This window comes from Homo sapiens, chromosome 16, assembly GCF_000001405.40.
Source record: "Homo sapiens chromosome 16, GRCh38.p14 Primary Assembly".
Lineage (NCBI taxonomy): Eukaryota > Metazoa > Chordata > Mammalia > Primates > Hominidae > Homo > Homo sapiens.
Window position 1 is genome coordinate 53,621,658 of NC_000016.10, and position 25,927 is coordinate 53,647,584.

Genomic DNA, 25,927 nt, shown 5'->3' on the forward strand with positions numbered 1-25,927 from the left:
ACAAATGATGCTAGACAATTTATTTTTCAATGCTGGAACAATTCTGGTTGTGTTCAAGCCCCTCTGATTAAAAAGTTCAACTAGGCCGGGCGCAGTGGCTCACGCCTGTAATCCCAGCACTTTGGGAGGCTGAGGTGGGCGGATCACGAGGTCAGGAGATCGAGACCATCCTGGCTAAATATGGTGAAACCCCGTCTCTACTAAAAATACAAAAAATCAATCGGGTGTGGTGGCGGGCACCTGTAGTCCCAGCTACTCGGGAGGCTGAGGCAGGGGAATGGCGTGAACCCAGGGGGCGGAGCTTGCAGTGAGCCGAGATTGCGTTACTGCACTCCAGCCTGGCAGACAGAGCAAGACTCCGTCTCAAAAAAAAAAAAAAAAAAAAAAAAAAGTTCAACTAGATTTTGTATAAAGATCTGAAGATTGGCCCGGCGCAGTGGCTCATGCCTGTAATCCCAGCACTTTGGGAGGCAGAGGTGGGCGGATCATGAGGTCGGGAGTTTGAGACCAGCATGGCCAACATAGTGAAACCCCGTCTCTGCTAAAATTACAAAAAATTACCTGGGTGTGGTGGCAGGCACCTGTAATCCCATCTACTTGGGAGGCTGAGGCAGGAAAATCGCTGGAACCCGGGAGGCGGAAGTTGCAGTGAGCTGAGATCGCGCTACTGCACCCCAGCCCGGGAGACAATGCGAGACTCTGTCTCAAAAAAAAAAAAAAAATCTTAAGATTAAGAAGCACATTAAATGCATAATAGACAACTTCATCTCAGCATGTCAGAAATGAACTCATTCCCTCTCCTCTCCCCCAATCCTATTCATACTGTGTTATTTCCTATCTCAGCCGATGACATCACCATCCACCTAGTCCCCTACAACCAGAAGACATAGCAGCATCCTTGCCTTTCCATTTTTTTCACACCCACTATATCCTAAAGGTCACCCATTCCTGCTCATTTTACTTCCTAAATATCGCCACAATTGGCCAGGTGCAGTGGCTCATGCTTGTAAATTCCAGCACTTTGGGAGGCTGAGGAGGGGCAGATTGCTTAAGCCCAGGAGCCCAAGAGCCCAGGAGTTGGAGACCAGCCTGAGCAACATGGTGAAAACACGTCTCTCCAAAAAATAAAACAAAACAAAAACCACACACACACACACACACACACACACACACACACACACACACACAAATAGCCAGGCCTTGGAGTGGCATGTGCCTGTGGTCCCAGCTACCTGGGAGGCTGAGGTTGGAGGATTGCTTGAGCCTGAGAGGTTGGGGCTGTAGGGAGCCATGATCTTGCCACTGCACTCTATGCACTGTAGCCTGGGTGACAGGGTGAGACCCTGTCTCAAAACAAAGAAACAAACAAAAAAACCACTCAATGATTCACTGAATTGTTGAAAGCATATATTTCAGACATTGTTTTAACTGTTGGGGAGATAAAGAAAAATAAGATGTTGTTTCTTTTCCATTTTTTATCTCTAGAGAAAATACTAAGTTCTCATGGGGGTAACTAATACAATAGCTTCCTAGTTATCAGAAGGTAGCAATTTGACAGAACAAGGAGGGAGAAAATAGAAGGAACTGACGTAAGAGATTTGAGAGCGAACTGGTAGCCGATTGATGAGCGTTATGAGACTGTAAGCTCAGTGACAGTAGGGACTATTAGATTGCTCATTGCGTTATGTAGTACACAATAAATGAGTGGATCTACTCTCATGACAGAGAGAGGTGAGGCACTCATCTCTAATCTCTTGTCTGCAGTCCCAACCATTCTCCTTATTGTAGCAGAATTCTCTTCCTAAAAACCAATCAAATATCATCTTTCCGCCTGAAAATATTCCTATTGCCTTACACTCTAGCCACTCCTTTAAACTCATGGTGTGCTGTTTTATATTGCTCAGTTTTTGCATCTGTTATTTATTGTGTGAAATCTTTTCCATCAGAATTCCACTCCTGTGAGGCCCTGAACCACACATCCTCTCCTTTATGACAGCAATACTGATCTCTAAGAGCAAGTTGGTTGTTTCCTCCTCTGGGCCTTTACTGCACTTCTCCATCACATTGTACTACATGGAACTGTTCACATATTTGCCTCTGTCTATAGACTCTGGGCTTCAGGAGGGCAGGACCAATATCTTACTCATTTTTTGCTACTTCACATCCTCCCCAACATAGACTGTCAATAAATATTTAATGAAATAGTGGAGACTGTGTATCTTTTATATATTCAGAATATCTTTTTTTATTTTTCTTCAGGTTCTTGCTTTGTTGTCCAGGCTGAAGTGCAGTGGCAAGATGACAACTCACTGCAGCCTCAATCTCCCAGGCTCGAGTGATCCTCCCATCTCAGCCCCCTGAGTAGCTGGGACTAGAGGAGCATGCCAACATACCCAGATATTTTTTAAATTTTTTGTAGAGACGGGGTTTCACTATGTTGCCCGGACTGGTCTCAAACTCCTGGCCTCAAGCAATCCTCCCACCTCGACCTCTCAAAGTGCCAGGATCACAGGTGTGAACCACAGTGCCCAGCCTAGAATATCTTTTATTTATTGCCAGAACTATGTGAAGCTGCAGGTATTATTGCCTTCTCATTTAAAAAATATTTATTATGGCTGGGCGCACTGGCTCATGCCTGTAATCCCAGCACTTTGGGAGGCAGAGGCAGGCAGATCATGAGGTCAGGAGATCGAGACCATCCTGGCTAACACGGTGAAACCCTGTTTCTATTAAAAATACAAAAAAATTAGCCGGGCGTGGTGGCACGCGCCTGGTACTCGGGAGGCTGAGGCAGAAGAATCACTTGAACCCGGCAGGTGGAGGTTGCAGTGAGCTGAGATTGCGCCACTGCACTCCAGTCTAGGTGACAGAGCGAGACTCCACCTAAAAAAAAAAAAGGAAATTATGTGCTACTAAGTTTTGGGGAGTGGTTATTATTAACTGCCGAGAAATATATAGAACTCTTGCTGTTATAGATTTTAATGAAATAAGACTATCTCAAGACAGGTGAATATTGTTGAATCTAGGTGGTAGGGTACTATTATTTCTACTTTTCTGCATGTTTGAAATTTTTCATCATAAGAAAATGGGAGTCCCTCCCCCTCCCCCTCCCCCTCCCCCTCGTCTCAGTCTCCTGCTTTCCACGGTCTCCCTCTGTTGCCCAGGCTGGACTGTACTGCCGCGATCTCGGCTCGCTGCAACCTCCCTGCCTGATTCTCCTGCCTCAGCCTGCCGAGTGCCTGGGATTGCAGGCGTGCGCCACCACGCCTGACTGGTTTTTGTATTTTTGGTGGAGACAGGGTTTGGCCGTGTTGGCCAGGCTGGTATCCAGCTCCTGACCTCGAGTGATCTGCCCACCTTGGCCTCCCCAGGTGCCGGGATTGCAGACGGAGTCTCGCTCACTCAGTGCTCAATGTTGCCCAGGCTGGAGTGCAGTGGCGTGATCTTGGCTCGCTACAACCTCCACCTCCCAGCCGCCTGCCTTGGCCTCCCAAAGTGCCGAGACTGCAGCCTCTGCCCGGCCGCCACCCCGTCTAGGAAGTGAGGAGCGTCTCTGCCTGGCCACCCATTGTCTGGGAAGTGAGGAGCCCCTCTGCCCGGCAGCCCAGTCTGGGAAGTGAGGAGCGTCTCTGCCAGCCGCCCATCGTCTGGGATGTGGGGAGCGCCTCCGCGGCTGCCCCATCTGGGTGGTGGGGAGCGCCTCCGCCCGGCCGCCACCCCGTCTGGGAACTGGGGGGGGCGCCTCAGCCTGGCGGCCGCCCCGTCTGGGGGGTGGGGTGGGGGGTGCCTCCACCCGGCAGCCGCCCCATCTGGGGGCTGGGGGGGGCGCGCCTCCGCCCAGCGGCCGCCCCGTCTAGGGGGTGAGGGGGGGGCGCCTCCGCCCGGCAGCCACCCCGTCTTGGGGGTGGGGGGGCCCCTCTGCCCAGCCGCCATGTCTGGGAAGTGAGGAGCCCCTCTGCCCAGCCGCCACCCCGTCTGGGACGTGTACCCAACGGCTCATTGAGAACGGGCCATGATGAGGATGGCGGTTTTGTCGAATAGAAAAGGGGGAAATGTGGGGAAAAGAAAGAGAGATCAGATTGTTACTGTGTCTGTGCAGAAAGAAGAAGACATAGGAGACTCCATTTTGTTCTGTACTAAGAAAAATTCTTCTGCCTTGGGATGCTGTTAATCTATAACCTCACCCCCAACCCCGTGCTCTCTGAAACATGTGCTGTGTCAACTCAGGGTTAAATGGATTAAGGGCGGTGCAAGATGTGCTTTGTTAAACAGATGCTTGAAGGCAGCATGCTCGTTAAGAGTCATCACCACTCCCTAATCTCAAGTACCCAGGGACACAAACACTGCGGAAGGCTGCAGGGTCCTCTGCCTAGGAAAACCAGAGACCTTTGTTCACGGGTTTATCTGCTGACCTTCTCTCCACTATTGTCCTATGACCCTGTCAAATCCCCCTCTCCGAGAAACAACCAAGAATGATCAATAAATACTAAAAAAAAAAAAAAAAAAAAAAAGAAAATGGGAAAAAGTCTCAATCAGGTGAATTGGAAGATGTCCTAAATAATATACTGATTCAAATGACAGTAATTGAAGCAAAGGCTTTTAAAGAGATGAATAATAATTGTTCAGAATTACTAGAGCAACATGACCGGTCATTCCTCTGCAGGCTACCAGCATCCTTTGATACAGGAAATTGGCCAGACAGCACAGGCTTTAGACTTTTCCTGTTTTGTTTCCCCTCTACGTGTATGAATTTTTGTTACCAGGTAAGATGCTTCTTCTCAGTTCTTTTTTTCTTGTTCACCAATTACCCTATTAGCATCCTCAGTATCACCATGTAAAAAGAACATTTATAAATTTTGATTGTGGGCTGGCCGTGGGGACTCACGCCTGTAATCCCAGCACTTTGGGAGGCTGAGGCAAGTGGATCACTTGAGACCATGACTTCAAGACCAGCCTGGCCAACATGGTGAAACCCCTTCTCTACTAAAGATACAAAAATTAGCCAGGTGTGGTGGTGTGTGACTGTAATCCCGGCTACTCGGGAGGCTGAGGCAGGAGAATCGCTTGAACATGGGAGGCAGAGGTTTCAGTGAGGTGAGACTGCACTACTACACTCCACCCTGGGTGACAGAGTGAGACCCTGTCTCTCAAAAAAAAAAAAAAAAAAAATTTTTTTTGTGGTGAACAGAAGTCATTCAAATCAGAACTCCATGCAACTTATTTTTAGTTGTCTGTATAGATGGACACTATGTGTTATGTGATTAAATGATCTAGAAATGTGATGACAGCTTGTATTGCTCTAAAAAAATAAATTATAGCTCTCGTGATTTTGGCTCAATTCCACTATTGCTTCCTGACTGATGATAATTCATACTTTGGATCATATTTTTCTATGTGATCTAAAGTGTTTACTTAGGCTTATTATTGGCATGCTTAAAATTTTCACATCCTACTTCACAGGATTGTGCTGAATTCTTCCTCTGGTTTCAGCCACTACACGCAGCCATACTGGAGTTGAATTGTTGGGCTTCTGAAAACTAATTCAACCTGACAACCCTTAAAAATAGTACTGCATAATTGAGAATGGCCTATGATAAAGGTCTTGCAACTTGTTTCAGTCAGTTACATTTAAATCTAATTATGGTGAGATTACAGGTGAGCTTAATTTTATTCCAAGTTTCTAAAATGAATAGGCATTTCTTTAATTTTTTATTATAAAACATTTCAAACATGATAAAGTACAGAAAATAATTTGGCATATTCAATTCAACTAGTCAGCCATCTCAAACAGATGTTACCATTTTTCTATAACCAACTTAAGTCTTTTTATTGTTGTTTTTGAAGAAATAAAATATTTCAGATACAGGTAAAACTACCAGCTGCCAAATCCTTTCCCCTCCCTTCCTCATTCCCCCATGGTTACCACTATCTTGAAGTTGGTTGTATCATTCCCAAACATGCCTTTATATTTTCTACTGCATGTGTGTATATCTATAAACAACATACAGTATTATTTTCTGTTTTTTGGTTTTATATTTGTGGTATCATATTCTTATTAATCATTCTGCAATTTCTGTTTTTTTATACTCAATACTATATTTTTGAGATTTATCACATTTATTTTTCAAATCCAATTTATTCATATTAACTGTTGTACAGAATCCTATTTATATTGCATATATAATCTATAGTACATTTATTTACCTGCTGATGAACAATTATGTTGTTTACCATTTTTTGCTATTACAATGCTGCATTAAATATCCTTTTATGTTACATTGTTTACAATTTTTTGCTATTGCAAACAATGTTGCATTAAATATCCTTTTATGTTTTCTTGTATACATGCATGATTCCCTTAGGAGCAGAACTGCTGGGTAATAGGTAAGAGAATTTCAACCATAAAGTATTATCAAATTAATCTCCAGATAATTATAAATTGGTATTATTTATAAAAATACTGTGTGTGTGTGTGTGTGTGTGTGTGTACATAGATACAAATAAAGCCTACCTGTAGGAGCCACAGTATGTAGAACTTGTTACTTTGTAACAAAACAACAGAGACAAAATGGAAATAGAAGGCCAAGATCTATGTCAATGCTTTTGAAGAGTACAAATTTTAATTGGGGTGAGCTCTAAGACAAGCTCAAAACAGTTGGTTAAAACAATCAGACTCAACCACTGGTATTGACAGAGCCATATGTAAGTAGGGTAGGAATGCATATTAATTAATGGTGATTCTTACAAGTTCCCTTCTTCAGGCTGGGCATGGGCAGAGACATCCTCTCAAAGACTCAAAAAAATCCCCTTCAGTCCTTCACATCAGGCTCCAAAGCTTCCTCTTACATTGTGCATCAAATCCACTCCTCATACAAGTTCTGATTAAAGCATTTTGATTGTTTAATAACTGTTTAACTGTTTATTTTAACAACTGTTGATTATTTAAAATAATAATAATAAGTACATACAAAGGTGATGTCTCCAGAATCTCAAGCTGTCAAGGTAATAAGGTTTTTAACAAACAAAAGAAAACCACCCAGTTTTCGTCCGTGGCAGTAATCTATCTTTTCTAACATGTTCTGTTAAAATGTACTATATTAAACAAATAAGGTAAACGTTGCAAACTTCAGTGATGGGGATCAAAACAGTGCTAGCTTTAACAGTACTTATTTTTAGAACATTGTCACGGTGTCCTTATATGCCCTATAAATTACTATGTCCTTGCAGTGATTTGGATTATTTTTTTCCTGCCCTAATATCAAATTAATCTCCAAATAATTATGCCAAATAATTATAAATTGGTATTATTTCATCACCATAGAAATGGTGTGTGTGTGTGTATAAATGTGTATAAATAGATACAAACCTGAGGGATATGACACATTGCAGCAATGTGAAGCAAGGAGAATTTTAAAAATCACCCTCAATTTCAGGTGATTTTGATATGCTACTCTCCTTTCACCATCACTGAGAACAGATGTTGCAGTGCAGTGGTTCTTGATTTTGGCTGCACATTAGAATCACCAGGGGAGCTATAAACAAAATTCTGACTTAATTTATCTAGGTGGAGCCTGGGCCCTGGCATTTAACAATGCTCCCCAGACGATTCTCATGTGCAGCCAAGGGTGAAAAGTACCACTTTTTTCTAAAGCTATGGTTCTTGCATTTTAGCATACCCCAGAATCACTTGATAAAACACGGATTGGTGGACTCCATAGAACTTCTAATTCATTAGGTCTCTGGTGGGGCCAAGGATTTGCATCTCTTACAAATTCTCAGGTGATGCAGATGCTGATGCTGAACTCTGGGGATCACACTTTGAGAAATATTGCTCTAAACCAAAAAAGATTCATCTTCCATCCATGGAGACTTCTAACATCTTTATAGAAAAGCTTTCACAATATTCATGTTAAACAGTTCTTTTGCTATTATTCAACATTTTAGTACAGAATTAGCTAACTACTTCCTTTTTTGAGTCAATCGATGCTCACCATTAAAAATAATCCAACAATATAAATTACCAAATGTCAAATATGAAAGTTCCTTGTTTCATTCTACCACCTAACTCATGAGTTGGCAATTTTTTTTTCTGTAAAAGGATGAATACAAATGTTTTTGGCATTGCAGCTATATGGTATTCAACTGTGCCCTTGTGGAGTGAAAGCAGCAATAGATAATATGTAAACGAACGGGTGGCTGGGTTCCAATAACAGTAGAGGGCTGGATTTGGCACAGGGGCCATTGTTTGCTGACTCCTGCCCTAGAGATATTCACTGCTAACGCTGTCAGATGTACATTTTCCCAAACATTTTCTTTGCTTACATAAACCTAAATGTCATGTCTGTATGTGCAAATAAAAATATATATATAGACCTTTTTGTATTTCTTTTGTGTGTGTGTGTGTTGCAGCGACAGGTTCTCCTCTGTCACACAGGCTGGAGTGCAGTGGTATGATCCCAGCTCTGCAGCCCTGAACTCCTGGGCTCAAGCGATCCTCCAACCTCAGCCTTCAGAGTAGCTAGGACTACAAGCATGTGTCACCAGGCTTGGCCAATGTAAAAAAATTGTTTTTGTAGAGATGGGGGTCTTGTTACATTGCCCAGGCTGGTCCTGAACTGCTATCCTCAAACAATCCTCTTGCCTTGGACTTCCTCAAGTGTTAGGATTACAGCTGTCAGCCACCACATCTGGCCCCATTTGTTTCTTTTTAAATGAAATCATCACTAAGGCAAAATTTATTCATTAGTTTGGCAAAGAGTGTAATAGGAGAAAACATGAATTTTCAAACATTGTTATATATAATAATGTTCATCTTAAGCAGATATATTTGTATTAGCAAAAAATCATAGAAACACTTAAGGGTCCATCAAAAGGGGCTTATTTAAATAAATATAGTATAGCCATATAATGGAATATTATAGGTATGTTGAAAGAAATAGAGTATACTGTTATGGAAAAATGTTGATGGTATATTAGTAAGAGTTAGTTAAATTGCAAAGCATAAAAAATAGTTTTAAAAGCAATTTCTACTAGGAGAGTATGTCAACATTTCCAGTTTGACATAAAATATATTTTATTTTTATTTATTTATTTTTGTGACAGAGTCTTGCTCTGTTGCCCAGGCTGGAGTGCAGTGGTGCAATCTCGACTCACTGCAACCTCTGCCTCCCAGGCTCAAGGACTGTCTTGCCTCCCCTCCCGAGTAGCTGGAATTACAGGTGCCCGCCAACACGCCCGGCTAATTTTTGTATTTTTAGTAGAGACAGGGTTTCACCATGTTGGTTGGGCTGGTCTAGAACTCCTGACCTCAGGTAATCTGCCCACCTCAGCCTCCCAAAGTGCTGGGATTACAGGTGTGAGCCACCGCACCCGGCCAAGTAAAATATATTTTAAAACCTACTCTCTATCTAGCTTAAGCTTCCACATGTAAAACATTGAGAGTGGCTTATTTTATCCACTGATAAGATATCATATTTGATTCCTAAGTGATTTAATAATTTTTCATATGCGAATTCTAAAGCGAGTGAATTGATTTCTGCATTGTGCCTTTCAAAGTTTTAAACATACTTTGCTGAACATCGTTATTGTAATCACCTGGGAATGCCAGCTCATTGTTCAGAGAACCTAGTTTCCAGGTGGAACTGCAATTTAGTCCAATTGAATATGGCAGTTTTCACACAACTGCTAGGAGTAGGAACAGAGAAAGAGAATGATGTAAATATGCACTGCACAGAAGAGTCCATTGCTCTTTCAGCCTGTAATTTCCCGTTCTCACCTGTGGGCACATTTTAAGACAGCTGTGAGTTCATGGCAATACATTTTGTTGTGAAAAATGAAAGCTGCACTATTGAATGATAAAATTAGAAATAATGCAAAAGATGGATTGTTAATTTTTTTTAATGCCATGGCAGATGCAAATGTTCAGTTTTGATGTCTGTTTTGAGGACCTGAAACAAGGCTTTTAATCAATGTATTATACATCAAATTTATACTGTTAACTTCTGATTATTCAAATTAATAAAATATTCATAGAGAAATGTCCAAAGTTTTACATCTCTCAGAATTCTGTCCCCCCACACTCGCCATTAATTATCATGCCTAGAAGCTTTTTAGTAAAAGCAGCAGTTGTCAGGCTGACGGAATCTGACAGGCCAGCAAGGCCCAATTACACTTGCGCTATGTGGCACTTTGATGTCCGGGAAACGAAGAAAGATAGGGGCAAATTGGGTGGCACATTATGTTAATGACTTGATTTAATCCAGCCACTAAACTTTATGTAGCCTGTTAAAAAAGATGCTAACACTAATTACGCCACTTTGGAAAGGAAAGGAGGGGACAAGCATTTCATACTGACAAAGTGAAGCTCATAAATGTTGTAAATGAAATGAAACAAAATGAAGTAATCTATGATTAATTATACATCACAGACATGAAGAAAAGAGAAAGAACCAAGTAATACGTAGAAGTACTGGGAAATCTGTTAGATTCCTTTTAAGGATCAACATTTCTAAGAAATAACTAGGAACTGTCAGATTCTGTAACATGAAGAAAAGAAACTGATCTTAAATTGCTTACACAGTATATCAGATAATTCAAATTCACAGTGTAACTGGCATAAATGATACTTATCTAGGACACTACTTCTAGTCCTAATTTTGTGACATTATAAAATAGAGGCAATTTTTTAAAAAGTAGGGATAACTATAGAGTAGGGTTATCTAATTCCTTTCTAACTAGTTTGTGCCTCTAATCTGTTTTTTACATTATTGACAGCATGATCTTTCAAAATGTGATCAAGCATGCAAACTCCTTAAGATCAGGAGCTTAATTTTTTGTATTCGTGGATCTATTCCCAGTCCCTAGAACAAGGCTAGGAACACAGCAAATGCCCACTACATATATATCTGTTTAATGAATGGGTGATCTTCTATCCCCATTCCTTAAAAATCTCAGAGGCCTCAACGCTCTGGATTATGCCTCCCTTTTCAGCCTATTCTCCTGGGCTCCCTAAGCATACCATAATAGGCTTGGCCCATCCTGAAACCATTCTGAATTCCAGAACAAGCCATGCACTACGTTCTCTCAGATTCTCATGCTTTTCATTCCTTTGGCCTATGATTTTCTCACCCTTTTCATGAACTCCTAATCATCTTCAACACTGGCTCCAGCTTTACTGACTCTAGGAAGTCATCCTTGATGAAGGGAAGACCCCTCATGCTGACTTAGGGACCCCTTCTGAATGCTCCCATAGCACCCCATGCATTCCATTCTCCTGGTGCAGACCACTATGCATTTTAATTGTGTTTCCCCTACAGACTATGAATTCTTTGAGGGAAAGAACTGCTTCTTTTATGCCTGCCTGACACACGATGGATGCTAATAAATAAAGAATTGTTGTGAGGAAATATTAACATAGGATGTACTTAGCACATAACAGGCATTCAGTAATACATTCCTTCCTATGAAAGCTATGTTTCACTGTTCTGAGATTTTTACCAGAAGCAGTTCTTAGAGAAGACAAAAGAAAAAACTAATGAACCACAAGTATTTTTAAGCTTACAAAAGGATTTATGAAACAACACTTCAACCAAAGTTAACACCATCAATAATTAGGCAAAATGACATTTTCTACCTCCTGATATGATGCAATGAAGAGCACACAGTATCGCTTCTGTATTCCTACCAAAATGCATAACTGGAATCTGATCTTGAGGAAACACCAGACAAATCCAATGAAGAATATGTTACAATGTAAATGGCCTGTATTAAAGAGTATCACTGTTATAAAACACTACAAGAAAGCCTGAAGAAGCATTACAGATTAATGCAGGCTAAAGAGGCATGAAAACGAAATGCAATGTGTGATCTGGATTGGATCTTGGACCATATGAATAAGATGCTATAAATGGTATTACTAGGACAACTGGCAAAATTCTAATGAAAACCGTAGATTAGATAACAATATTATATAATTGTTCTGAAGTGTTTAGAATTAAAGGGGCATGATTTCTGCAACACTCAAATGGTTCATAACAATTATGTATGAAAGAATGTATGTTTATAAGTAAATACCTAAGTATGTGCACTATATGCATATATAGGAGAGAGACTAGAAATGATAAAACAAATAGAGTAAAGACTTAAAATCTATGAATCCAGGTAAGGAATATACAGAAGTTCTTTGTACCACTTTTGCAATCTTTAAAGAGAAAGGTTCTATTATTCATATTAAATGATTTGCTAAAGTAGTACACACAAAAACTGGTAAAATCAATAGAAAATCCTGTATTTCACTGTCTTAGTCCATTTGTGCTGCTACAACAAAGTATCACAGACTGGGTAATTTATGAATAATAGAAATTTATTTCTCAGAGTTCTGGAGACTGGGAAGTCCAAGATCAAGGTGTCAGCAGGTTTGGTGTTTAGTGAGGGCTGCTCTCTGTTTCCAAGATGGTGCCTTGTTGCTGCATCCTCTTCAGAGGAGGAATGCTGTGTTCTTACATGGCAGAAGAGCAAGATAACTTCTCTTCAATATCAAGCCCTTTCAAAAGGGTGCTAATCCCATTCACGAGAGCTCTGTCCTCATGACTTAATCAACTCCTGAAGGCCATATTTCTTAATAATGTTGCATTGGGGATTAAGTTTCAACATAAATTTTGGAGGGGACACCTTCATTCAAATTACATCATTAGCCATTATGATTTCTTGAGTTTTGTTCCCAGGCTTTCAGATGATACCATTTTACTAAATTTGGTATATAATTTACCAAGATTAAATTTCACCTGTTAACAATATGCTATGGTATGAATATGGTTTGTTCGTCTCCACCAAGGTCATGTTAAAATTTAATCCGCAGTGTGGCAGTGTGGGGAGGTGGAGTCTATTGGGAGGTGTTTGGGTCATGGGAGCAAATCCCACACGAATAGATTAATGCCCTCACTCTGTTAGTTCCCTTGAGAGCTGATTGTTATAAAGAACCTGGCAACTCTCACCTCTCTCTCTCCTCCTTCCTCTCTTGCCATGTGATCTACACATGCTCTAGCTCCCCTTATCCTTATGCCATGAGTGGAAGCAGCTTGAGGCCCTCACCAAATGCAGATGCCAGTGCCATGCTTCTTGTACAGCCTGCAGAACTGTGAGCCAAATAAACCACTTTTCTTTGTAAATTACCCAGCCTCAGGTATACCTTTATAGTAACACAAAACAAACTAAGGAAACATAGGATGCTGGTCAGTGACTGCTGCTGAAAATAGAATTTTTTAAAGCCCATGGGAGCTGAAGCATGAAGAACTGCTTGCTTTAAATGATGTTCACATTTGAGATAGCATCTGAAACCATTATAGGAAATCAAATTTTGGAATGGTAGTGAAGACCGTATCAGGCTGTAGCAAAGTAAGACAAATTATTTTCCCTTAGGTAATGAGAAAAAAATCCAGTTTATTAGAAAGAAAAAATATATATGTACATTAGAATTATTGGAATATTTAGAGAAACAGTTATTTATTTTGCTAAACTTCTTTGTTAAATTAAAGTTTATTCTACCTTAGTTAAGAGCAATGTACAACTTCACTGAGATGCTAGCCACGTTGCCAACATACACATGGTTCTATTGCAGGTCTAAGTAGGAGTTTTCATAGATTGGATGCTGTTATTGTAATTAATAAATATATAATAATAATGATAAAACTTTGGACAGATAAAATGTTCTATTTGTATTTATCAAGAACAGAAACGATGGGTATCTCTATTTCATGGAGGAATCTGTGACAACAACTGAAATGTTCTGTTCTATTGTTTTGCTTTATTTCTTTATTTTTTGAGAGACAGAATCTCACTCTGTCACCCAGACTGCAGTGCAGTGGTGCAGTCATAGCTCACTGCAGCCTTGAACTCCTGTGCTCACATGATCCTCCTGCCTTGGCTTCCCAGAGTGTTGGGATTTCAGGTGTGAAGCACTGTGCCTGGTCTGTGGTTTTGTTTTAAAGAGAGATTAAACTAAGAATGTGTGAAGGAAGAGTTAAAAGAAATATTCCAATTCTTATCAATAAACTAAAAATTCTACAAAAGTACAATTAATCACTTAAGAAAAATTAACATAGATGAATAGAAAAAGCTAGAGCTTTTTACTCTACTTACATTTACTTTATAAAAACTTTTTCCCTCTTACAATAAAAAATGCTCTGGTAAACAGTATACTTCCCATATATATTTTAAAAAATATAATTTTCTTCTCAAAATTTCAATTTACATACTACTTTTCAGCCATGTGCTCTAAGAAAAGCAAAGTATACCGGCACAAGATTAATTGCTTTCTAAGAAGGCTTCACTTGTTTTGGCAGAAATGAAATAACTGTAACATATTATCAGTGGATATATCTAGGTAAGAGTAGTCTATGAATTCACATAGGCAAACTATTATAGTTTCAAAGAGCATCTCACATTTTGAATTCTTTAAAGTTCAAATCTTCTTCAACACATCTTGGTATGCTAGTCTTGAAAAGGAGTCAAGAAGTCAGCTAGTTTCAGCAAGTAGCTATTGGAGGTACAGATTTAAGGTACTCTTTGTGAAAATAATACTTACATGTTATAGTCCATTACATAATGAAACCATACATAAAAATTTCTTGTAGTAGATGACTACTTGGTTAAGATTATGATAAACATTAAAGTTTTTCCAGAAATAGTTTTCCTTAAGATTTTTATATATGAAGACTACATATGTACTGTGAATGAAAGGCAGCCTTATTTCAGAACATTTCTAGTTGGCATCAAGTTACTGACCTGTTTGATATTCTTGGAGATAGGACCTGGAATAATACAGTCATCACTGTCAGAAGCTGACATGTCCTCTTCAACTGTTTAAAAAATAAAAGGGTAACATTTACACAAGTTAAACCAATTCTACTTATACCCTGTAAAATAAAGAGAAACAAGCACACACCATAAGATAACCTTAAGAAACATGGTAATTATACCTAGATCTTTTTTAGTAGCAAATTTGTTTACAGACACATTACATTTTAGGGAAAAAAAAGACTAAAAATTTCAAGGTTAATTTTGGTAGAAGCAAAGGAAATGCCAATAAAAATACAGCTTATTGTGAAATTTAAGAAAAAAATTTTAAAAAGAGAACCATAGGGTAATAGATGTTTTTTAACAGTCTGACCAGTAATGTTATGTAAGTCAATGCTATTCTTATTATTTTAAAGTTTTAAAATTTTTATTGCTTTGTTGAAATAAAACTGACAGACAATAAACTACACACAATTAAACTGCAATATTTGACACACACACACACACACACACACACACACACACACACACACACACTCTTTAATTACTTTTAGAGACAGGGTCTTGCTATGTTACCCAGGCTGGGGTACAGTGGCTATTCACAGGCACCATCATAGCACACTGCAGCCTCGAAGTCCTGGGCTCAAGTAATCTTCCCTTCTCAGCCTCCCAAGTAGCTGGGACCACAGATGTGCAACACTATGCCTGGCTAAAATTAGATGTTTTGACGTAAGTGTAACTGTGAAACCAACACCACAGTTAAGACAGTGAACATGTCCATCACCTCAAAAAATCTCCTCAGGTCCCTCTGTAATCTCTTCCCTTCTGCCCCTCCCCATTCCTATTCTTACAGATTGTTTGCTTTTACCAGATTTTAAAAAATACAGTAAGTGGTCATTTTTGGCTGGATTTCAATTTTTAAAAAGTCAAGACCTCTACGCTAATGCAAATAATAATACTGAACTCAAAGAGAACACAAAACTGTTTAAAACATAAATTGGGAACATGGTCAGCAATAACACTTGTATTCTATTGTGGAGCTCCAAGTTGAAATAAGAAGAGATACAACAATTCCACCTAACTACAACTAAGAAGATGGAACTATATTCTATCATTTCTGTCAAGAAACAGGTATCGTGAAGTAGACGCTACCATTAAATGAAGATGTTCTATGATGCATACTCTAACAGATAAAACAAAGCACAGGGTTAACTAAACAATGTTAGTTTAAATAAGAAAGTCACCTTCTGGTTCCAAGTCCTCTGTTATTTCTGTTTCATCTTCAGAAGATGCCAAGCTTTGTTCTGCAAGCTGACCTTCAGATAGTAAAGACACATCATCTTTTCCTTGCTGCATTTTCTCAGTATTCTCTTTTACCTCATCTACACTGCCTTCTTGTGAAACCTGAAGAAATCAAAGCACACTGGTATATTTATAATTGCTTAGATCACATTTTATAGCATTATTGCTGGAACAGTTGAATAATAAAGCATGTAAATTTGAGACTTAAATATACAGATATGTAATATGTATGAGACTCAGAAAACAACCACTTCAATTTGTACAAATGATAATATATAGATAAATGGAAATCTGAATATGTACTAAGAATAAAAAATGTATTAATCTCAAAATGAATTTTACATTAAGACTTTAATTCAAATATTCATATATTACCTGTCAATAGCAGTATAATTATGGCTGTTACCCTTGTCATATTTTTGACTTTCTATTCCAAGGAAGTCATATATAAAAATAGGGGAAATGCTATGACTTCCTGAGTCATGTCAAAACTTATAAGACAAAGTATTTAAGAACCAAATTAAACCTTCCAAAATAATTTTAACACAAATGCATACCTTGGGAACATGTGGAACAGTCAGCATATTAATTTCTATTTCTGGTATATGCTCTACCTCTGGTGAAATTTCCTTCCTATCTTCAGGAGGAGGAGAAGTCTCCTTATATTAATGTGAAAACACGCATGTATGTCATTTTTTATTTATTACTAAATCCCAAATCATTCTATCATATACATATTGAACTACTAAAAATTGGCAGCAAATGTAACAGTTACTCATATGACACTGAATTTACTTAGTATATTTCAATAAAATGGTATTTATATTCTTTAAAATATAAATATATATGTAATTTAAGAACTGCAAGTTTAGTTCATTGAAGCACTGTTTACAATAGCAAAAAAAAACTGAGAGCAATGCAAATGTTCAACAGGGCATTAGTTAAATAAAATATGCTATATCCAAATACCTGAGTTCTGTGTAACTGTGAAAAAAAAATGATGTAGACCTGTGTTTATTAACATTACAGAGAATACATAACATAGTGTTGAGTAAAAAAGCTACTTATAGAACTATATATATAGTTGTATTATGTTTGATTAAAATACAAACAAGCAAGCAAACACACATATGTGTGTATTTCCATGGGAAAAAGTATGAAAGGAAATTCATCCAAACAGTATCTCTGAGTTTTAGATTTGGGAACATTAACTTTTATTTTCACTGTTTTTTTTTTCTTCTTTGTATTTTCTAATATTTCTATGATGATTATAAACTACTCATGTGATTTTAAAAATGTCATATGCTAGCATAGGTATGTATTCCTTAAAATCAATGTCATCTTTTTATTTCATCAAATATGAATTTATAGTTAGCTATTATTCCTGGGTTAACAAACGAATGTTTAGTTTTAAAATACAGCTTATGACTTTTACTATTTTTAAAAGTAAACATGGCCAATATAGGAAATGTAAAAGATAAATATAAAATAAATCAATATAAATCTAGTACTCAATGGTAATACCTATTAAACTTCTTAGATTTCTATTTCTTTAAAACTAATTTTTGATGGAAATAAAAATTTTGGTTACACAATAATAACTGCATTATAAATACAATATATCCTGTTGCATTTAAAAAATTTAATATCATAACATAAATATTTTCTCCTGATATGAAACTTAGAAAAACATAATTTTAAATGACAATAGAATATTATATTCATGGGTGTGCCATGGCTTAATGAACCATTTTACTATTGTTGGACATTTAACTAGTTCACAGTTTTTAGGTATCATGACTAACATTGCAACAAACACCTCTATGTTTATGTCTTTTTAATGTTAGTGGTCATTTACTTAGGAATCAGGCTACTGTGTTCAAATCCCAGTTCTAATACTTGGGCCATGAACAAGTTACTTAACCTCTCTAAACATCACTTTCCCTATCTTTAAACGGGAATAATTCTAGTATCAACTACATAGGGTTGTTGTGAGGATTAAATGAGTCCAATGTATATAAAGCACATAACAAGCACTCCATAAATACTAGTGATAAAACATCTACTGAATTATAATTATTGAATTCATTATTTATCACATACATATTAAATGCTCTGTATGTGCCAGGTATTATTTTAAGCTCTGGAGAGACAGAATATTTTGATGTGGGTGGTAGTTACACAGGTGTATACATATTTAAAAATCCATTGAGCTCTATGCTTAAGATTGATGTCCTTTACTATGTAAGTTATATGTGAATTACAAAGAAGATATATTTTCTAAAAAGTCCACCACAGAGAATGGTAAAAATCTGAATACAGTATATATTTTTAAAGTACAGCTGACACCTTTTGTGGATGACCTGGGTGTAGGGGTGAGAAAAAAGAGGAGTCAAGAGGATGCCTCCAAAATTTCATGCCTGTGCAATCAAGTGAATGATTATGTCATTTACAGAGAATGGGAAACAGTGAAAGAGGCAAAAATTTTGGAAGAGGGTTGGTATAATCAGGAGTTTGGTTTCTGACATGTTAAGTTTAAATTCCCATTAAACATTCATTGCACATTAAATAGGTAGTAAGAAAATGAATATGAAATTCAGCAGTGAGGTCTAGACTAAAGATTATAAATATGAAAGTGTCAGCGTATAGATGCTTTTTTAAAGCCATGTGACTGTATAAGGTCTCTTAATGTAGATATGGATTGAGAAGACGTCTGAGGATTGACTGCAGAGGCACGACGATATTTAAACATATGATCAAGGAGCATGAGAAGTATAACAGTAAAGTTGGAGGCAAGCTAGGAAGGCATGGTGTCCCAGAGGCCAAGAGAAGAGAGGCCCATATTTCACTGTCAAATGCTCCTGGGAGATGAAGACAGGCACTGAGAATTGACTACTGTATATGGCAGAGAGAAAGTCGCTGTGACCTTAGTAAGAGTAGTTTTATGAGGATAAAAGCTTGAATGAAGTGAGTCCAAGAAACAATGTGAAGTGAAGGAGACAGAATTTAGACAATTTTTTGAAGACTTAAAAAAAAAATAGGAGCAGAGGATTGGGGCAGAAGCTAGAGAGAGGTAAGGGCCCAAAAAAGGGTTTAGATAAAAAATTTGAACAGTTAACACTTATATATAGTGCCGAAACACAAAGCAATCACTTTAATGGGAAAAGACATACTTTATTCACCTGTTTCCATTTAAATCAGGTAGGGAATAATATGCCTATATAATTTATTTCAAATATTTGTTATGAAAAAATCAGTATTTTCAGTGTCTACTACTTACATCACTCTGATGTGGCATGATATCCACGAAAGATACCTTCTTATCTACAGGTGTTAAACGTTGTCTTGGTTTAGGTCTTGGTGCCTAAGACAAACCAACCAATGTGTCAGACTGAGTATGATGACCATTAGATTTCAGATAAGACTTTAGCTATTATTATTATTTTTTTTTGGTGGGGGTGGCAGCTTAGTTCTTAAGCTTTATATTCAAAATTTTATACTTGTAAAAAAATTAAAAGTCACTGATACTCACTAAAACTAGTGTGCTAACAGAGGATGCTGGAGGAAGTCTTTGAACAACTTCTGGCTCTTCGCTGCGAATGAAATTTCCTAAGTCTTCAGTTGTTATTGATCCACTTGGTGGAAGGTAAGCAAATTTCCATTTCAATATAACATGGATGGTGCCAGCAGGATGCTTTTGATGGTCTGTTAACTCAAATATTCCTGTCAAATTACAATAATTTTAATTAATGCTAGAGTGAAGTTTTATTACTGTAAGAATTAAAGAACAAAGAACTACTCCCTACTTTAAGAGACTCATGCTCTACCATGTGAACTAGCCAGGTGGTTGTACCCCCTACTTTAAAAATAATTTTGGCTTTCACTCAGAATTCAGATGGCTTAGAGAGTAAAATAAAGACAAAATGATCTATGACAGGCTCATCTCTCAAGTAGATCTCCTTCAGAAGTTAAGACCTCAAAGATAATACTGATTCAAAGATGAGACAATTAATTTATAAATAACTTAATTCACTGAAATTAAATTCAGACATTATTCAGAATTCTTAGCCTTCCTTCGTGAAGGCTCAAGTATCCTCCATTTTGACTTGAAAGTTTTTGTAAGTCTTTTGGCTTGTCTCTAAAGAAAAATATATTAATACTTTAAAATTTCAAATAATTTACACATTTAAAGGAAACTGTATGTTACCATATAATTCTATTATAATTTTAAATATATTTTGTTGGGATTTGTTAAATCACTCCAAATTAATAGTAGCACAGAAAAAGCCCATAAAATAAATGGACCATCTACAACAAATAGCAGTAACAAAAGAAACTTGAATCTGTTATATTGAGTCTCAAATTTTAACAGTTGCACTGGATTTTTGGGTATAAAAAAATCTCTGACTTAAACAAAATCTATATATCTTTTTATTTTTTTTTTTAAATAGACAGGTTCTCACTACGTTGCCCAGGCTGGAGTGCAGTGATTATTCACAGATGCGATCATAGCACACTGGCCACCTTGAACTCCTGGCCTCAAGCCATCCGCCTACTCAGCCTCCGGAGTAGCTGGGACTACAGGCACCGGCTCAAACCTAAATTTCAGGCATTAGCTTTTGCTTAAGAGTATCCTTTACTTTGCTCTCAAGTGTTGATACTCCTTTTAATGGCTGGCTGGAAAAAAAAAAAACCTCCCAAACTCTAGACTTTGGGTAGGATAAAAGGACATAAGTAGAACATGAGGTGATAAACTTTTATAGGCATAGCAAGACTTCCAGAATGGCTAAGTAAAAAGCTCAGCAAATCTTCTCTAAAAAAATGATAAAACTGGACAAAATGGTCAGAAACAACCATTTAAGGAGTCTGGAAATTGATCAAAGATACTGGATAAATTGAGAAGCATTTACTCAAGAAAATCAACTGCACCTCAGTAAGAACAGTAGGAATCTGTGGGACTGCTCTCATCTTACCCTTTCTCCCCCACTCCCATTTTGGAGAATTTCTGCCAGTCTAGGATAGGCTAAGAGGACTGGCAGCCTCTGTTGTAGGGTGCTGACTATATGTGGAGCAAAATATAGATAATTTCATGCCCAGAGGCATCGTTAAAAACAACAGCAACCTCAATGGCAAACAATCAGAGAAGGTCAACATCACAGACAGCCTGAGGTCTCAATACTGGTTGGGGCAAGCCAAAACACCAGAAGGCCAGCCAACAATTTAAAAGGGAAATCCAAGGAATAAGATATCAGAAGTGGGCGTTGGCTGGGTGCGGTGGCTTACCCCTGCAATCCCAGCACTTTGGGAGCTGAGGCAGGTGGATCACTTGAGGTCAGGAGTTTGAGACCAGCCTGGCCAACTGGCCAACATGGTGGTGAAACCTTGTCTCTACTAAAAATACAAAAATTAGCCAGGTGTGGTGGCGGGTGCCTGTAATCCCAGCTACTTGGGAGGCTGAGGCAGGAGAATTGCTAGAACGTGGGAAGAGGAGGTTGCTGTGAGCCCAGGTGGCACCACTGCATTCCAGCCTGGGCGACAGAGCAAGACTCCATCTAAAAAAAAAAAAAAAAAAGAAGTGGGCCTTGACAAGAGCCTATTTATAGCTCATGATGTGGAAGGCTATGGGCACACACACAAAACTGTGTAAATGCTCAGGAGAAATCAAAGAGGACCCTGGTAAGCTATCTGTCCCTGGGTGAATGAGAGGTCTAGTCAATTCGGAAAGTAAAAGCTGAGGCAGGCTTGTAGACTGAACTTTGATTTGAATGCATCCTCCATGCCACACACTGACCCATAGGCAAAAGGTGGAAACCTACTGGCTCAAGGTGTTTAAGCACACCTTTGAACAATCACTGACTGACCACTAAGCTATGCTGACCTATGGTTAAAAGTGAAACAAAAAGAAAAAAAGAAACAAAACTTAGCTGAAACATCAGTGGCTATACACAGCAGAGGAAATAGATTCTACAGAAATAGTCCAGGCAAGTCACCAAGCAAAAATAGCAACAATAACCACCTAGGAAATGACGTTACAATATATTATCCAAAAATGTCCAGTTTTCTACAAAATACTTATGAGACATGCAAAGAAATAGGAAAATGTACTGCATACACAGCAAAAAAACCCATCAATAGACAGTTTTTAAGGATGACCACATGTTAGACTTGGCAAAGATCTCAAAGCAGCTATTATCCATATGTTCAAAGAACTAAAAGAAAGTGTGTTTAAATAATTAAAAGGAAAGTATAATGATAATGTTTTATCAAATAGGGAATATAGTAAGAGATTATAATGTTTGGGTGCGGTAGCATGTGCCTGTAGTTTTAGCTGCTCAGGAGGCTGAGGCAGGAGGATCACTTGAGCCTAGGAGTTGAAGTCCAGCCTGGGCAACATAGCGAGACCCCTAATTCTGGAGTTGAAAAGTATAATTACTGCAATGAAAAAATTCAATAGAGGGTTCAGTAGGAAATCTGAACTGGTAGAAGAAAGAATTAATGGACTTGCAGGTTGATTAGAACAGATTATTCAATCTGAAGAATGGGAGGAAAAATGAACAAAAATGAATAGAGCCTCAGAGACCTGTGGGGAAACCATCAAACATACCAGCATATGGTACATGTACTGGAAGTTCAAGAAGGAGAAGAAAAAAAGAGGAGAAAAAAATAACTGAAAAAATAATGGCAGTAAACTCCCCAAATGTGGTGCATAACATTACACTACACACAGGAAGCTCAATAAATTCTAAGTAGGATAAATGCAAAAGGATCCACATTTAGACACATCAGTAGAACTGTTGAAAGCCAAAACAAATAGAAAAACCTGGAAAACAACATCAAGTATGAGAGAACCACAATAAAATTAACAACTGATTTCTTATCTGAAACAATGGATGCCAGAAGTAAGTGGTCTGATGTACTCAAAGTGCAGAAAGTTAAAAACTAAACTGTTGACCAAAAATATTATATACAGCAAGACCATCCTTCAAAAAACAAAATCAAAATAAAAACATTCCCAGATAACAGAATCCTCCCAGACTGAGAGAATTCACTACCAGTAGACCTAACTTACAAGACATGTCATAGGAAGTTCTTCAGGCTGAAGGAAAGAGACAGGAAATGGTAACTCAAATCCACACAAAGGAATAGAGACCAATAAAGGTAATTACATAGGTAATTACAAAACACAGTATAAATATACATTTTATCTTTTCTCCTCTTAACTGATTTAAAAGATAACTGCATACAACAATAATTGTTGGGCTCATAACATAGGAAGACCAAATATATGGTGACAGCACAAAGGAGGGGAAGGAAATGGAGCTATATTGGAATAAGAAACTGATATCAGACAGTAACTCAAGTCTACAGGAAGAAATAAAGAATATCAAAAATGCAAATATGTACGTAAATATCAAAGTCTTCTATAATTATATATTTTCTCTCTTCTCTTACTTCTCTTAACCTCTTTAAAGAATATAAGATTTTATAAAGCAATGATTATAACATTGTACTGTTGGTATATAATACATAGAGATGCATACTATATACATATATACAATAATAATTGCAAAAAGGAGATGAGAGAATGAAATTATATTAGATTTTCTATATTTTAATTGAATTAAATATTTAATTAAATACCTTAAGTATTTAATTCCATTAAGTTAGTATTAATTTTAACTTAATACTGGGATAAGATGCACATAGAGCGACTAGTAAGAAAATAATTTTTAAAATATAGTAATATAGGCCTAAAGTTTAAAGACTGAGAAGAGGTTAGGGTGATTAGTTATAAACGAATCATATCCATAACACTAAGGTATAATTTTGTTTTGTTTTTACAATTTTATAGATTCAAAAACATAGGCTTACCTGAGATACACCTGTCATGTGCCAACGAAATCAGAGGCACATTGACTTTTCCTATGTAAATATTCTCCTGGGTATCACTATCATCAAAAACATAAAAACTCAGAGACTCTGACTTAAGGTATCGATCCAAGTCCATATTCATTGGCACTGGGAAATACATATGATCATCAAACTGTGGATCATTGCTACTGGGAATGATAGCTGTATCATGGTCTGCAAAATCAAAAAACTTGTACACAACATATGGGTGTGGCTGCAGGTGGCTTGCTCGGGACTGCAGGTGGTTGCAACATCTTATTGTAATGTGAAGTTCATTTAAGTTGCCATCTGTGGAATCTGTAGAACTGAGTTGAGCAGTTTTGGGTGCTTGCTGACTTAACTGGAAAAACATACATATTTATATTAAGGAAATAACACAGTTAAAAGATGAACAGCAGCTGCCAAGCCCCAAATAAGATAATTTTGTCAATGACAAAAGCTGCATATTTTCACTTCATAATTTCTCAGTAAAATAAACTTTTATTCTAATGGAAAATCAATATTCCCTAGAACATGTATGAATAGATGATCCTGTTATTAGCAATAAACCTTGGAGACTGAGCATACATGTAGCGATTGGTGCTAAAATCAAATAAAACCAAGAAAAATGTTAATCTGATGTTCTTCAATTCTGTTAGATAACTAAAGACTATAGTGAGCAATGGGTAGATAGACGAATGTCCTAACTAAAATACATTCACCCGCCCACCCAGAGTAATGATTCTGTTATATTTGGGTTGGCCCTCATCCTGAAACTGTTGGGATTTGAGGAAGCAGATACCTGAGGCCAAATTAGCCAGTATAACAAAGTCTAACTGTTACGAGAAAATGAGAACAGAGTCAGAGACAAACCTTGAAGGGAAAAAGAGCCAGGACCGGGAGGATACTTCAGGAGAGAGATGAACAAAAGGAGTTATTAGGTAGAGTTGGAAACTACTCTACGGTTCCTTTGGAACTATTATGGAGATGGACGGCACACAGATATTTTAGAAAAGTATTGTGCTGACTGTTAAATCTTCCATGGCTGATGTAATCTGGAACAAAGAAAATGCTAGTGTTTCTGTGCTTTGTTTGGTTTAGTGCTGGAGTCTCTACATTCCACAAAGGCATCCCTCTGCATTTCTGAATCTGGATTGAGCATCTGGGACCCTGACTCCATGAGAAGTTTATTGGAGGAGGAAAAAATAAAGCTGTTGTCATAATCTCCTTAGTGGACAAATCTGGTGTGTGGAGAGGAGAAATCTAAGACGTGAATCACAATATTGCTTTCCCAGGGCTAGTTTGCCCTCAGCAATAGAAGGCTGAGAGGAATGACTGAAAAAGTACCTCCACTTCTCCCCTTCAATCTACACACCAGAGCTGAAATTCCACCAGGAAACAACTTATTCAAGTCAGAATCTGGGAGTCTAAAAAGCTTTAAACTACAAAACCAAACAATGTGGTCTCCTTATCTCTAACTCCCATCCCCATAACAGCATTTCCCAAAGTATGTTGTAAGGAATACTGGCCAGAAAGATGGTCTCTGGAAGCAGGTGCACTCTTTCTTAAGTTTGGGAATCAGTGTGATATTAGTCACGCTTCTTTAACTGAAAGTCATAGAAACTAATTCTATTTAGCAAAAACAACAAAAAAGGGACTTTAAGGTTACAGGCATATTTCACGGAATACATAGTAGAAATATGGCTGGACCTTCGGAAGGCAGTGGCCTAGAAACCAGCAGAATGTCCTCTCCATCTGATCTCCATTTTTTTCTGTATGTTTGTTCATTACTCTCTTTCTTCAGACTCATTGTGTTACCTTCGCTGTTTAACATGGTAGATGATGGCTGCCTACAGCCCCCAATTTTACGTGTCCAGATATGTCTTGCTTTCTCCTGATCTCAGAGGGCAGAATCTGATTGGCTCAACTGGGGTCAAGTGGG

At 37.9% G+C, this 25,927-nt stretch overlaps 1 protein-coding gene across 29 annotated transcripts in view, besides 1 other annotated feature; it reads right to left on the bottom strand.

Moving 5' to 3' along the window:
• Positions 1 to 25,927, bottom strand: part of RPGRIP1L (RPGRIP1 like) — a 105,707-nt gene that overhangs the window by 23,505 nt on the left and 56,275 nt on the right. For 5 of the 29 annotated variants that reach the window (NM_015272.5, XM_047433870.1, XM_047433869.1 and 2 more), the window contains 7 exons: positions 23,968 to 24,346; positions 19,628 to 19,818; positions 19,376 to 19,459; positions 16,653 to 16,754; positions 16,038 to 16,197; positions 14,782 to 14,855; positions 562 to 699 (listed from right to left, as the gene is read on the bottom strand). In NM_015272.5, the coding sequence (NP_056087.2) occupies positions 562 to 699; positions 14,782 to 14,855; positions 16,038 to 16,197; positions 16,653 to 16,754; positions 19,376 to 19,459; positions 19,628 to 19,818; positions 23,968 to 24,346 (1,128 nt within the window). Of the gene's footprint in view, positions 1 to 561; positions 700 to 6,598; positions 11,761 to 13,417; positions 14,534 to 14,781; positions 14,856 to 16,037; positions 16,198 to 16,652; positions 16,755 to 19,375; positions 19,460 to 19,627; positions 19,819 to 23,967; positions 24,347 to 24,384; positions 25,041 to 25,927 lie in introns of those variants that run through there. The other 24 variants (XR_933260.4, XR_007064861.1, NM_001308334.3 and 21 more) reach the window with 13 other exon arrangements.
• Positions 4,046 to 4,564: an enhancer, noted in NCBI's record as "NANOG hESC enhancer chr16:53659615-53660133 (GRCh37/hg19 assembly coordinates)". NCBI's record gives its function as "activates a minimal SCP1, AML or CMV promoter by ChIP-STARR-seq in naive H9 embryonic stem cells {active_cell/tissue: H9 hESC(naive)}" and the evidence as "EXISTENCE:reporter gene assay evidence [ECO:0000049][PMID:30033119]".